We start from the raw sequence: 13,913 nt of genomic DNA on the forward strand, positions 1-13,913 counted from the left end.
CAACCCTCTAATCTTCCGGAGGAGGAAACCCAAGCTCAGGAAGGTCACGTGGTAGCCGTCGGGATGAGACTGGGGCCTTCGGAGTGCCTGTTATTCCCAGACGGTTTACTAAGTGGTGATCTATATACGTAATGTAACTACATACGTTTCAGACAAAGGTTATTTATTCACTGAACAGATATTGAGTGCCCACTGTTTGTGAGGCATGGTTTTATGATGGGGATACAGGGGTGAGCAAAACAAAGCTCCTGCTCTCATGGAGCTTACATTCCAGTGTGTGTAGGCTGGGGGAGCTCCAGATAGATTCAGATAGTGATAAAAGCTCTGAAGAAAAATTATGGAAAACACAGGGATAGAGAGTGGGAGGCGCTATTTTAAATAGCGCGATAAAAGAAACCTCTCAGAAGCTGTCATTAACAGGTACCAGAATTCAGGAACGATAACAGGTAGATGTGACTGTCTGGAGGAAGGGTGGTCAGGCCGAAGGAACAGCAAGTGCAAAGGCTCTGAAAAGGGAATTCTCTTGGTGAGTTATAACAGATCAGGAAGGCGAATACATTCTAGGGAGCGTAAAGATTCTACTACAGGCTGGGCGCGGTGGCTCACGCCTGTAATCCCAGCACTTTGAGAGGCCGAGGCGGGCGGATCACTTGAGGTCAGGAGTTCGAGACCAGCCTGACCAACATGGAGAAACCCCGTCTCTACTAAAAATACAAAATTAGCCGGGCATGGTGGCACATGGCCTGTAATCCCACCTACTCGGGAGGCTGAGGCGGGAGAATCGCTTGAACCTGGGAGGTGGAGGTTGCGGTGAGCCAAGATCACACCATTGCACTCCAGCCTGGGCAACAAGAGTGAAACGCCATCTAAAAAAAAAGAAGAAAAAAAAAAGATTCTACTACAGAGTGTAATCCAGTTCTATCATTATCCCGTTCTTCGAGGGCTATCACTCCAGTGAAAGCAATCTTGTGAAGGTTGCCAGTGACCTCCACGTTGCCGAATCCCCGAGTCATCTGTCAGCCCTTACATTGCTTGGCCTTTCAGGCAGGATTTGGTAAGATGCTACTACAGTAATCCGGATGAGAGTCAGGAAGCTACTATTATAATACAGGTGAAAATTAATGGTAACTTGGATAAGGGTGATGGCGGAGGTGGTGAGTAGTAGTAAAATTCTGGATATATTTTGAAGACAGAATGACGCAATGGATGTGGGCTGTGAGAGAAAGAAGATTCAAGGATGATTCCAATGTTTTTGGCTTGATAACTGGAAGAAGAGAATTTCTATTTACTAAAACAAGGAAATGGAAAAGACTACAAAAGCAGTTTGGTGGGGGAATATTAAGGGTTTGATTCAGTTTATGATGCTTTTTAGAATCAAGCAGAGATACAGACTAGGATGTTGTACATACGTAGGGTTTAGGCAAAAAGGACCTGGAAATATAACTTTGGGGCCAGGCACAGTGGCTCACTCCTATAATCCCAACATTTTGGGAGGCCAGGGGTGGGAGGATCACTTGAGGCAAGGAGTTTGAGACCAGCCTGGGCAACAGAGTGAGATCCCATCACTACAAAAAAATAAAAAATTAGCTGGGTGTGGTAGTACACGCCTGTAGTCCCAGCTACTCAGGAGGCTGAGGTGGGAGGATCACTTGAGCATGGGAGGTCAAGGCTGCAGTGAGCTGTGATATATATATATATATATATATATATATATATATATATATATATATATATATATATATATATGCACCAAGGAAGTGAGTGTAGATGGAGAAGAGCAGAGAAGTCTGATTACTGAGCCTCACGAAATCCCAACATTTAAAGATCTGGAAGAGGAAGAAAATCCAGTAAAGGAGAATGTGAAGAAGCAGGTTGTAAGGAAATGAGTAGGTCAGGTATGGTGGCTCATGCCTGTAATCCCAGCACTTGGGGAGGCTGAGGTGGGAGGCTCGCTTTAGCCCAGGAGTTCAAGACCAGCCTGGGCAACATAATGAGACCGCCCCCCCTCACGGTCTCTACAAACAGTTTTTTTAGAAAAGGAGGGAGGGGGGGTCAAACGTCATATCCTGTGGAGAGGCCAAGCAATGTGAGGCCTGAGAAATGACCAATGGATTTGGCAGTGTAGAGGGCAGTGTTGACTTTGACAAAATTGCTTTTATCTATTTCATTTTATTTTTTTGAGACAGGGTCTCACTGTTACCCAGACTGGAGTGCAGTGGCACAGTTATGGCTCACTGCAGCCTCAACTTTCTGGGCTCAAGCAATCCTCCCACCTCCGCCTCCTGAATAGCTGGGACTACAGGAGTGCTCCACCACACCTGGCTAGTTTTTTTTTTAAGTTTTTTTTTAGAGATGGGGTCTCACTGTGTTGCCTAGGCTGGTCTCAAACTTCTAGGCTCAAGTGATCCTCTCACCTCAACCTCCCAAAGTGCTGGGATTACAGGTGTGAGCCACTGTGCCTGACCATAAAATGGCTTTTAGTGTGTGGTAGGGGTGAAAACCCAACAGGAATGGATTCAAGAGAGTAAAGGTGGCTGGGCGCAGTGGCTCAAACCTGTAATCTCAGCACTTTGGGAGGGTGAGGTGGGTGGATCACCTGAGGTCAGGAGTTCAAGACCAGCCTGGCCAACATGGTGAAACCCTATCTCTACTAAAAAAAATTACAAAAATTAGCCAGGTGTGGTGGCATGCGCCTGTACTCCCAGCTACCCAGGAGGATTATGAGCCTGGGAGGTCGAGGCTGCAGGGAGCCATGGTTGCCCCACTACACTCTAGCCTGGGCACAGAGTCAGACCCTGTCTCAATAAATAAATACACACATAAGAAAGAAGCAAGGTCATGGCCTCCTCAGCTATACATGCTCCTTGGAAAATTCTTTCACATCCAACCTTCCTTTCCATTCCCATTTTTCCCTTTCCAATGCAAACCCTTACGACTCCATGCTGGCCTGGTACAGACCCTCCTTGATAAGACAGTCCTACACTTGGAGAAATTTAAGTTCTCTACAAATTGATAGGTCCCTAATGTGTCCATGGATAAATGCTGGGATCCTTTTCAAACAGCCTCTCTGAGGTTTGTTGACCTAGCACGACAATTTCCATCTTCCTGTCTCCTGCTAAGAATCATGAAGTATCCTCTTCCATTTCCTATCATGAGGCCTGTCTTCTCCTGCTGACTACAAGATACAGTCATGTGTCACTTAATGACAGGGATATGTTCTGAGAAAAGTGTTGTTAGGTGATTTTATCACTGTGCGAACATCATAGAGTCCTTATACAAACCTAAGTTGGTATAGCCTGCTACACACCTAGGGTTTAAGGTATGACCTGTTGCTTCTAGGTTACATACCTGTACAGAACATTACCATACCGAATACAATGGGAAGTATTTGTGTATCTAAACATAGAAAAGGTAATGCATTGTGCTATGACCTTATGATGGCTATGAATGTCACTAGGCAATAGGACTTTTTCAGCTCCATTATAATCTTAAGGGACCATTGTCATATATGCTGTCTGTAGTTGGCCAAAATGTTATGATGTGGTGCATGACTCTACTTCACACTGTGAAGAAGGCAATCAAGTAGAAAAGAAAGTCTGTCATTTTCTTGTGTTAGGGAACTGGATTGTGACTGGCCAACTACTGACGGGTGAGCCCTTCTCTTTTCCTACAATTCATATAAAATGACAAAGTCCTATTTAAATTGTGGGTCAGTGCTTTGGCTTGATTGGCAGGGTCCAGATCAGTAACGATGTGGAGAAGCGGGCTGCTTGTGGTAGGGGCCCTTTATGCCTTATTTTTGCATTCTTCTCCTTGCCCCCCTCTGCTGCTCATCTTGGTCCCTAAGCTGTTTCTTTCTTTTTCTTTTTTTTTTTTTTTGAGACAAAGTCTTGCTCCATCGCCCAGGCTGGAGTGCAGTGGCGCGATCTTGGCTCACTGCAACCTCTGCCTCCCAGGTTCAAGCAATTCTCCTGTCTCAGCCTCCCGAGTAGCTGGGACTACAGCCACATGCCACCAAGCCTGGCTAATTTTTGTATTTTTAGTAGAGATGGGGTTTCACCTTGTTGGTCAGGCTGGTCTGGAACTCCTGACCTCAGGTGATCTGCCCGCCTCGGCCTCCCAAATTGCTGGGATTACAAGCATAAGCCACCGTGCCCGGCCACTGTTTCCTTTTGCTTTTTTTTTTTTTTTTTTTTTTGAGATGGATTCTCACTCTGTTGCCCAGACTGAAGTGCAGTGGCATGATCTCAGCTCACTGCAACCTCTGCCTCCCAGGTTCAAGCGATTCTCATGCCTCAGCCTCCTGAGTAGCTCAGATTATAGGCATGCATCTCCATGCCTGGATAATTTTTGTATTTTCACAAAATACAAAAAGTGGAGATTAACAAAATGCAAAAAGTAGGGGTTTTACCATGTTGGCCAGGCTGGTCTCGAACTCCTAACTTCCAGTAATATGCCCAGCTCAGCCTCCCAAAGTGCTGGGATTATAGGTGTGAGCCGCCACACAGGGCCTCCCTAAGCTGTTTGTTTTCAGAAAGGCTGTGCTGTTTCAGAAGGGATTATGAACTGACCCTGAAGGCTGGTCTAAGGAGCCCCTGCCTTTCTTACAAATCTGAGTCACACTGGATGTCTTGCTTTTGGTCCTGAGGCTAATTTGACTTTTTATTTGTCCCTCTCAGTCCAAAGGCCAGGAAAGAGAGACACCCCGCCTTGCTCAGGTCATGTTAAACATTATAGTCCCTGGTCTTGGAGCTGGTATGCTAGGGATGACTTGGGAACACTCTCTCCTTGATGATCTTTGAAATCAAGATGTCATGATTTTGATCTAAGGGAAAAAACTGGAAACATCCATTCTGACTAGCTGGGATCATTGTATCTGTGGGTGGATGGGGCTTAAAAAGAGAGACAAAGCCTGGGCGCCGTGGCTTATGCTTGTAATCTTAGCACGTTGGGAGGCAAAGGTGGGCAAATCACTTGAGATCAGGAGTTCAAGACCACCCTGGCCAACATGGTGAAACACTGTCTCTACTAAAACTACAAAAATTAGCTGGGCATGGTGGTTCAACCCTGTAATCCCAGCTACTTGAGAGACTGAGGCACGAGAATTGCTTGAACCTGGGAGGCAGAGGTTGCATTGAGCCGAGGTGGCACCACTGCTTTCAAGCCTCGGCAACAAATGGAAGAGACAGTCTCCAAAACAAAACAAAACAAAACAAAACAAAAAACCAAAACTTTTCATTGCCACCTTCACAGATATCCAGAAGTCACTGGAAAAAGGAATCTACCAATGAATCTCAGCATCTCCTCATTTTGCTCCTAGACCTAAAACCACCTTTGTATTGGGTGACCACCAGCCTCTAGATTTCTCTCCTCTGGGGATACCAAGAATTCACAATCTGCCTTTAACATGCTTGTATTTCCCATTGTACCTTCCCCATCTTTACTGAGCCAATGCTTCACCTCACTCGTATCTATATGCCTGTTGGCTTTAATTCTTTCCTATCTGTCCAAATCTAATTTATTCTTTAGGGCTTGGCTTAAACCCTATCTCCTCTGTGTGAGAGAGAATTTAATGGTCATATGTCTACATGGAAAGCCAGGCACTGTGCAGAGATTTAGGGATTCAGAGATGCACCATGAATAAGGACAGAACCTGCCATCAGGGAGCTCACAGTCTAGTAAGGGAAACAGATTGGAAAGAATGACAGGGTACTATGGTAAGGACAATGGGACTGTGTAAACTCCAGCAGCTCAGAAGACACAGTTATCAGTTATGTGTGTAGCACTGGGAAGGTTTCCTGTGGGAGATGACATCTGAGCCAGGGTCTGAGGCTGAGAAAGGGGCTTCTTCAGGAACTCCCCCTGCTTTGAACTCCCATAGCACTTATTAAGCCCAGACCCTCCATGGACTCCCACTTTCACTGCCTTTGCTTGCAAGTTTACTTACATTCTGTCTCCAGCTAAACCAATTTGGAGATCTTGCCCGTGTTCCCCATGGTCTGAGCACAGGGCCCTGATACCTAATAGAGGCTCATACATATTTGTTAAATGAATAGAATAAGTTAATCCCACAGACAGGTTTTTCTCTCCTCACATATTTTATCCAGAGCTTCCCTGAGCAAGTCAGGGGGCTAGATTCCTTCCTAAGGCTTCAGGAAGAATGGCCAAGTCGTGGAATATGCCCCACTTCATGGCCTTTGCTCTTTTACTCCCTGGCTCCCCAGTGTCTCTTTCTGCCTCCAAATGTGACCCTGCAAGGCCTCTTTATAAAAAAAAAAAAACAACTCCAGGCTCCAAAATCTCTCCCTCAATAAACTACCCTTTTGACTAAGCTATGGTATATAATGGAATACCATGCAGCTGTGGGGATGGCTGAGAATGAGACCTCAACGTAGACACCTTTTTTTTTGAGACAGGGTCTCATTCTGTTGTCCACGCTGGAGTGCAGTAGCACAATCAAGGCTCACTAAAGCCTCAACCTCCCCAGGCTCAAGCGATCCTCCCACCTCAGCCTCCGAAGTAGCTGGGATCACAGGCACATGCTACCATGCCCAGTTATTTTTTCGTATTTTTAGTAGAGATGGGGTTTTGTCATGTTGCCCAGGCTGGTCTTGAACTCGTGAGCTCAAGCGATCCTTCCTCCTTGATCTCCAGAAATGCTGGGATAACAGACATGAGCCTCCGCACTCAGTGGATGATTCTGGAATCAAATACCGGTGGATTCCCAATATTTGATTCTGGAACTATGTGGATGTTTACCTGTTTAAAAACTGTATTAAAAACTGTAAACAAAAAAACAACCAAGGTAAACCTCACATTGAAGATGATGAAAATAATTCACCCAAGACTGAATAACTGATAGGTAATTGGATTTTCACTTTGAGCTTCAATAAATTATTTGTTGAATGAACATGTGAATATTCCCCCACTGCACCTCTGGACCCCCACTTTAGTCCCTTGCTCTCTCCTCCTCCCTGGAGAAGCCTTCTACACCTAGGGAGAGCCAGAGGCTGGACACTGGAGAGATAAGGGCACAGGCCAACCACAGCCCTCTGTACTGACCCTGGTCTGTCTCCTGGATATCCCATCAAGTACAGGCTTTTTGGTTAAAGTCCTTGCACTTTGATGATTTCTATTTCCAGTTTCCCTTGGGGGAAGAGATGGAGCTGGTATTAATATTTTACAGTTGGGAAAATGATCTGGATATTTCATGTGTTCATGGTCAGTTGACCTTGAAATTGAAGGAACCCAGGTTTTGGGGTTTCTTTTTGAGATGGAGTCTCGCTCTGTCACCCAGGCTGGAGTGCAGTGGCGCAATCTCGGCTCACTGCAATCTCCGCCTTCCGAGTTCAAGCAATTCTTCTGTCTCACCCTCCCAAGTAGCTGGGATTACAGGCTCCCGCCACGATGCCTGGCTAATTTTTGTATTTTTAGTAGAGACGGGGTTTCGCTATGTTGGCCAGGCTGGTTTTGAACTCCTGACCTCAGGTGATCCGCCCGCCTTAGCCTCCCAAAGTGCTGGGATTACAGACATGAGCCACCAAACCTAGCCGCTTTCAGCATTTTAAAACTGATTATAAATCTCCAGCCTGGATCACATGCCAACCTGGATGCAGGCAAAGCCATCATTTTAAAAATCAAAGCTCATTATGTCATTTTCCTGCTTAAAGCCCTTCGGTGGCTTCTAATTATCATTAAGATAAAAGTCCAAACTCCTCATTGGGGATTATAGGGCCCTACAGAATCTGATCCGTTTTTTTTTTTTTCTCCCTCATATAAAGCCATCTGGGTTTGGTACTTTTTGTTGTAAGTAGATTTCTAACTACTGATTCAATTTATTAAGTCTGTTTAGATTTTGTTGCCTTGTGTTTTTTTGGTAAATTATATTTTCTAGGAAACAATCAATTTCAAATTTATTGGTATAAAGTTCATAGTATTATTACTTTTTTTTTTTTTTTGAGATGGAGTCTCACTCTGTCGCCAGGCTGGAGTGCAGTGGCACAATCTTGGCTCACTGCAACCTCTGCCTCCCAGGTTCAAGCACTTCTCCTGCCTCAGCCTCCTGAGTAGCTGAGACTACAGGCGCATGCCACCATACCTGGCTAATTTTTAGTACAGACGGGGTTTCACCATGTTGGCCAGGATGGTCTCGATCTCTTGACCTTGTGATCTGCCCGCCTCAGCCTCCCAAAGTGCTGGGATTACAGGCGTGAGCCACCGCGCCCGTCCACTTTTTTAAATAAACAAAACCAAGCCACTTCCTCTGCAAGCCTGCCTTGAACTCCCAAGTCTGCATTAGATGGCCTTTGAGACAGGGTCTTGCTCTGTCACCCTGGCTGGTGTGCAGTGGTGTAATCTTGGCTCACTGCAGCCTCAACCTCCTTGGCTCAAGCAATCTTCCTGTCTTAGCCTCCTGAGTAGCTGGGACTACAGGCGTGTGCCACCATGCCTGGCTAATTTTTTTTTTTTTTTTTGTTTAGAGACAGGGGTCTCACTGTGTTGCCCAGGCTGGTCTTGAATTCCTGACCTCAGGTGATCTGCCCGCCTTGGCCTCCCAAAGTGCTGGGGTTATAGGTGTGAGCCACTGCGCCTGGCTCCTGCTCTTCTAAGTGTTCTTGTAGCAGCCTGTACTTAACTTTATGGCTTATTTTCTGTTTTCCTCACTAGAATGCAAACTCCTTGAAAACCTTGCTTAGTGCTTGGGTCCATGGTAGGCGATCAGTAGAGTTGTAGAATGAAGAGAGTGAATTATACCTTCTTAATTCCTAGGAAGAATTCCCATTCTTAGGACACAGAGAACAAACAATACATCATGGGCATAAATAGCTCTTTTCCTTTGCGCAATTACATTCAGATCCCTAGTATCACTCTTTTTTCTTTTTTTGAGATTGCTCTGTCGCCAGGCTGGAATGCAGTGGCGTGATCTCGGTTCACTGCAACCTCCACCTCCCGGGTTCAAGCAATTCTCCTGACTCAGCCTCCCGAGTAGCTGGGATTACAGGCATGTGCCACCATGCCCGGCAAATTTTTGTTGTATTTTTAGTAGAGTTTAGTAGAGTCTGTGCTAATCTGTGCTAGCCAGGATGGTCCCGATCTCCTGACCTTGTGATTTGCCCACCTCGGCCTCCCAACAGTGTCACTCTTTATGGTTATGATCCGTCTCTGGCCGTTCATTCCACTCCACTCCATGCGACTCAGGTCCCTGGGGAGGCCTATTTTCTGGAGTAGGGCTGGGTCTAGGCTGGAATCGCGCAGCCTCCCCTTCTCTGGCTCTGGGCCAATGAGCCCTTGCACGGAGCCTTCTTGCCAGCAGGTGGCACTTGAAGCCTGAAAGCTAAACCAGACCCTGTCTCCTCCTCCTTCCTGTTCCGTTTCTTGAGAGAGCACATAACCCTGCTTGGGCTGTGCTAAGGCTTGCAGTCAGATGCCCTCGCCACGGGGCTTGACTCCTGGCTCCCAAGCTGCCGTGCCTGCTTCCTTGCCTGGATGCAGTCATTGCCTGGACCTCTCCTTTGCCTTAAGAGTCCAACAGGGTTATAGAGCATATGCTCTAGCCAGAACTAAAACTAGGTGGGGCACTTAACGATTGTGTACTCACATTCTTTGTTTTTGAGACAGGGTCTCACTCTGTCGCCCAAGCTGGAGTGCAGTGGTGTGATTTCAGCTCACTGCAACTTCTGCCTCCAGGTTCAAGTGATCCTCCCACCTCAGCCGCTGGGACTACAGGTGTGTGCCACCACACTCGGCCAATTTTTATAATCTTTAGTAGAGATGGGGTTTTGCTGTGTCGCCTCAAATTCCTGGGCTCAAGCGATCCTCCCACCTCGGCCTCCTATAGTGCTGGGATTACAGATGTGAGCCACCATGCTGGATGAGCTGAGTCTTGGAGGAGGGGAGGCTTATTCTATCTAGGTTAGAAGAAACAATCTGAATAAAAACCGAAGCAGAAATCAACCCTGTGTGTTCCCATATGCTCCCCAGCTCATCAAAAACTCTGCCTACTAAAATCGTCTCAGGCTGCTCACATGTCACCTTGCCTGAGGACTTTTTCCTTGGGGGACCTTGGTCTCTTCTGGGTCTTAGCTTGTACCTCTCACCTGCACATTTAACCTATTGTGCCAAAGTGCGGCTGTCATGTCTTCTTGAGCACCTGGACCACCCTCTGCTTCCTCAGGCACTCCTAGGAGCTGGTGGAGTTCATTTGGAATTCCATGTACCTGTGATAGGTACCCTTGACCCTGGGTTTCAAGATGTTGCATGTGAGATCCTGACCCTCTCCTGCCATGCTCCAGCTTTCAGCTTTAGCGAGCCCAGGCCAATCAGCAGATCTCTTGTAGGGAAATGAATGTCCCACAAAGGCCGTGAATGAGACTCCTCTTTCAGGCTGGAGAAAGGAGGGTCAAAGGAAAGAGTGATTTTAGGATTCGGGGACAAATTTAAGAAAAGCTCACATTTTGCTTATGCCCCAGGCCTGGAGCAATGAGAAGAGCAAAGCCTTTGCTTTGATACCAGGGACACCCCAAGAGGGGAAAGGTGGCAGACAGATGATAAGATAGGAGAGTGGCCAACTCCTTTGAGAGATAATCTGATATCCCAGAAAGGATGTTAAAAGTGAGGTTGTGGCCTGGTGTGGTGGCTCACACGTGTAATCCCAGCACTTTGGGAGGCCGAGGTGGGCAGAACACTTGAGGTCAGGAGTTTTGAGACCAGCTTGGCCAACATGGTGAAACCCTATCTCTCCTAAAAATACAAAAGTTAGCCGGGTGTGGTGGTGCACAGTGGTAGTCCTAGCTACTCAGGAGGCCGAGGCAGGAGAATCACTTGAATTTAGGAGGCAGAGGTTGCAGTGAGTGAGTCAAGATCGTGCCTTGGTAACAGAGTGAGCAAGACTCTGTCTCAAAAAAAAAAAAAAAAAAAAAAAAGGAGGTTCTTAAACTGCTCTGTAAATGCTGGGGTTAGTACCTTCCCAGTGGAGCCACAGGTGCAGAGCCAGGCCTCTGTTCTTCTCTGGCTGACAAGCACTCCCTACTAACACATTCAGAGCAGCCGCCTCACAGGAAGGGCCGAGTTTTCGGTATGGTGGTTCTATGATGTTGGCCGTGCCAAGGAGACATGCCAGGAAGCGCTACCTGGAGGTTCTGGGGGCTGCAGGCATTTTGGAGGAAAGCTGAAGCAGAGGCTTTGGGACCTGGAAGAAACCTCAAGGCTCCTTTAGCCCATCCCTAGCTGTCATTTTATAGATGAGGAAACAGGTGGGAAATGACTTGCTCAAGACCACACTGAGTTAGTGGCAAAATTGGGTCCACCATACAACACTGGTTGTTATGGTTCTTTTTTTTTTTTTTTTTTTTTTTGAGGCAGAGTCTCACTCTGTCGCCAGGCTGGAGTGCAATGGCGCGATCTTGGCTCACTGCAACCTCCGCCTCCCAGGTCCAAGTGATTCTCCTGCCTCAGCCTCCTGAGTAGCTGGGATTACAGGCACATGCCACCATGCCTGGCTTTTTAGTAGAGACAGGGTTTTACCATGTTGGTCAGGCTGGTCTTAAACTCCTGACCTCATGATCTGCCAGCCTCAGCCTCCCCAAGTGCTGGGATTACAGGCATGAGCCACTGTGCCAGGCCGGTTGTTATGGTTCTTAAAACTTAGGTCCTTATGGTGAAATGCATAGGGTAACGTGGCAAAACTCGTCTCTACAAAAAATACAAAAATTAGCCAGGTGTGGTCGCGTGCACCTATAGTCCCAGCTGCTCAGGAGGCCGAGGTGGGAGGATGGCTTGAGCCTGGGAGGCAGAGGTTGTGGTGAGCCAGGATTGCGCCACTGCATTCCAGCCTGGGTTGCAGAGCGAGACCCTGTCTCAAAACAAAAGCAAAACCAAAAAACCCCACACAACTTAGGTCCACCATACTAGATGATTCCTCACATACTCCCCATCTTAGTTCTTTACTGTGGGGCATGAATAAGCAAGGACTGTGTACCTTGGCCCAGAATGAAATGCTAACCAAACTGTGCGGGGACAATGCCACCACTAACCTCCAAAAGCCCTCACTTTTTGTCTGTGCCTAAAGCTGCTCTTCATCAGAAAGAACCAGACTCTGGTAGAAAGAAAACAGGTCTGCTTCCAGCAAGATCTCAAATCCAGTGGGGACATAAAATGAAAAGGGCCTAGAGGACCCTAAAATAAAGGAGACAGGGAACTTTGGGGATGTTTATTGCAAATGGTTATAATTTAAGTGATATTTACAATTGTTTAAGACAGAGGGCAAACAGGCTCTGAGCCAGGCCTCAGCTTTAGAGGCCCATCCTGGAGAGGAAATGGCACTTGCAGGGAACATGAGCTCAATCACTATTGCTCACTAAGCACAGGGTCACACTGGAGTCATCTTAGGGAGGCTGCGAGGAAGAAAAGGGAGTGCACAGAGCCATGAAGCAACTACTTTAAATTCTGAATCTTGCTGTGTTCCCACTGAGCATGCTGCCTTCCTAGAGCAGGCCTTGGAGCCATCCCAGGGACTAACACAGATCCTTCCTGGGGCGCAGGCTTCTCACACTAGCGTAGGGTGCCTAGGTCATCCTCATCATTGTTTATCATCACAGACTTCTTTCTGCCTGCCAGATATCTTCCCTACTTGTGGCTTTAAAACACCAGCAGGAGGGAAGTCAAGGAATGTTCTTGTTAGTATAAATCCATAGCAAAAACGATTTGAGAACTGGATGCTTCCCAGGGTTGGCAGGTGTGTGGATGGTTCCCTGAATTCTTTATCCACAGGATGCTTGAATGGGTGGTGCTGTTGAGGCTGACAAATGTCTGAGCTTTACAGACTTGTTCATGTTTTTGAGAACCTATGGGGATACTCATTGGGCAGAATCAGAGCCCAGCAGAACACGGGGACGGGGAAGGGTAAAGAGGGGAAACCGACAGAGTCCTGAGGTCATCCCGGGAGGAAGGGGGACTACTTCCAGAAGCAGCAGCACAAAGGGCTCTGCCGAGACTCTGCGGAGGGGGTCCAGGGTACTGGGGGTGGAGGGGTCCCCTCTTGCAGTGTGGGGTTACTGTTTGGGTAAAGCGAAGTCCCAGGCAGTTTCCTGTGCACATTTCCACATGGCCTGCATGAGGCGAGTGAAACCCATGTCTTTGGGCTTTTCCAGGCCTCTCATCAGCCGTTGCTTCATGATGGAAACAAATTCCTTATTGCTCAGTTCGCCATTGCCTAGAGGAAGAGGCAAAAACAACAGGGATAAGTGTTGGCCTTGGAACAACACCACTGATATAATTCCATTGTCCACACAAAGTGGATTTCAAAGCCCAGACATTCTCCACAGCCAAACTCAATTCTCTTATCCTAGAATTCATTAGTTTATTCCTTCCTCGATATTTCCAACTGCAACTCAGTGACAGTTCAGTGTAGTGTGACAAAAGTTGAATGAAAATACAGTATATGCCAGGTCTTGTGCCAGGTGTTTAGAACAAGGAGATAAATGAGCTTTGTGCTTTGTCCCTGGAAATACTTCCAGGCTGTAGGAGAGACAAATTATTATACCACAGTGTGGGGTAAACGGAGGATGCTATGGGGGGCACAGAGGAAGAATCTCCCACCCTGGCTGAGGGTAATGCAAATACAGATAGTAAAGGCTTCCTGGAAGTGACTCCTGAGTAGAATCTCACAGGATTAGCAGCAATTGGCCAAGTTAAGGGGAGATGAGGGAGGCATTCCAGGGAGGAGAAGCAGCATAAGCATGAGTACAGGCAGGATACAGCGTGGCTGCCAGGGAACTGCAAGTAGGCAGTTAGGTATTGCTGGACACTAAAGAAGCAGGTGCATGGGAAGTAAACTAAGGAGGAAGGCAGGGAGCTGAGTGTGGTGGCTTGTGCTTGATTTCCTAGCTACTTGGGAGGCTGAGGCAGGAGGATCT

At 47.1% G+C, this 13,913-nt stretch overlaps 1 protein-coding gene across 23 annotated transcripts in view; it reads right to left on the reverse strand.

Annotated features, from left to right (window-relative positions):
- Positions 12,195-13,913, reverse strand: part of MICU1 (mitochondrial calcium uptake 1) — a 258,740-nt gene continuing 257,021 nt past the window's right edge. For all 23 annotated transcript variants that reach the window (NR_199811.1, NR_199809.1, NR_199810.1 and 20 more), the window contains one exon: positions 12,195-13,210. Coding sequence is in view for 20 of the 23 variants with exons in the window: in NM_001441228.1 (NP_001428157.1) it covers positions 13,050-13,210 (161 nt within the window). In the remaining 3 variants the exon portion in view is untranslated. The remainder of the gene's footprint in view (positions 13,211-13,913) is intronic.

The sequence above is a fragment of the Homo sapiens genome, chromosome 10, assembly GCF_000001405.40.
Source record: "Homo sapiens chromosome 10, GRCh38.p14 Primary Assembly".
NCBI lineage: Eukaryota > Metazoa > Chordata > Mammalia > Primates > Hominidae > Homo > Homo sapiens.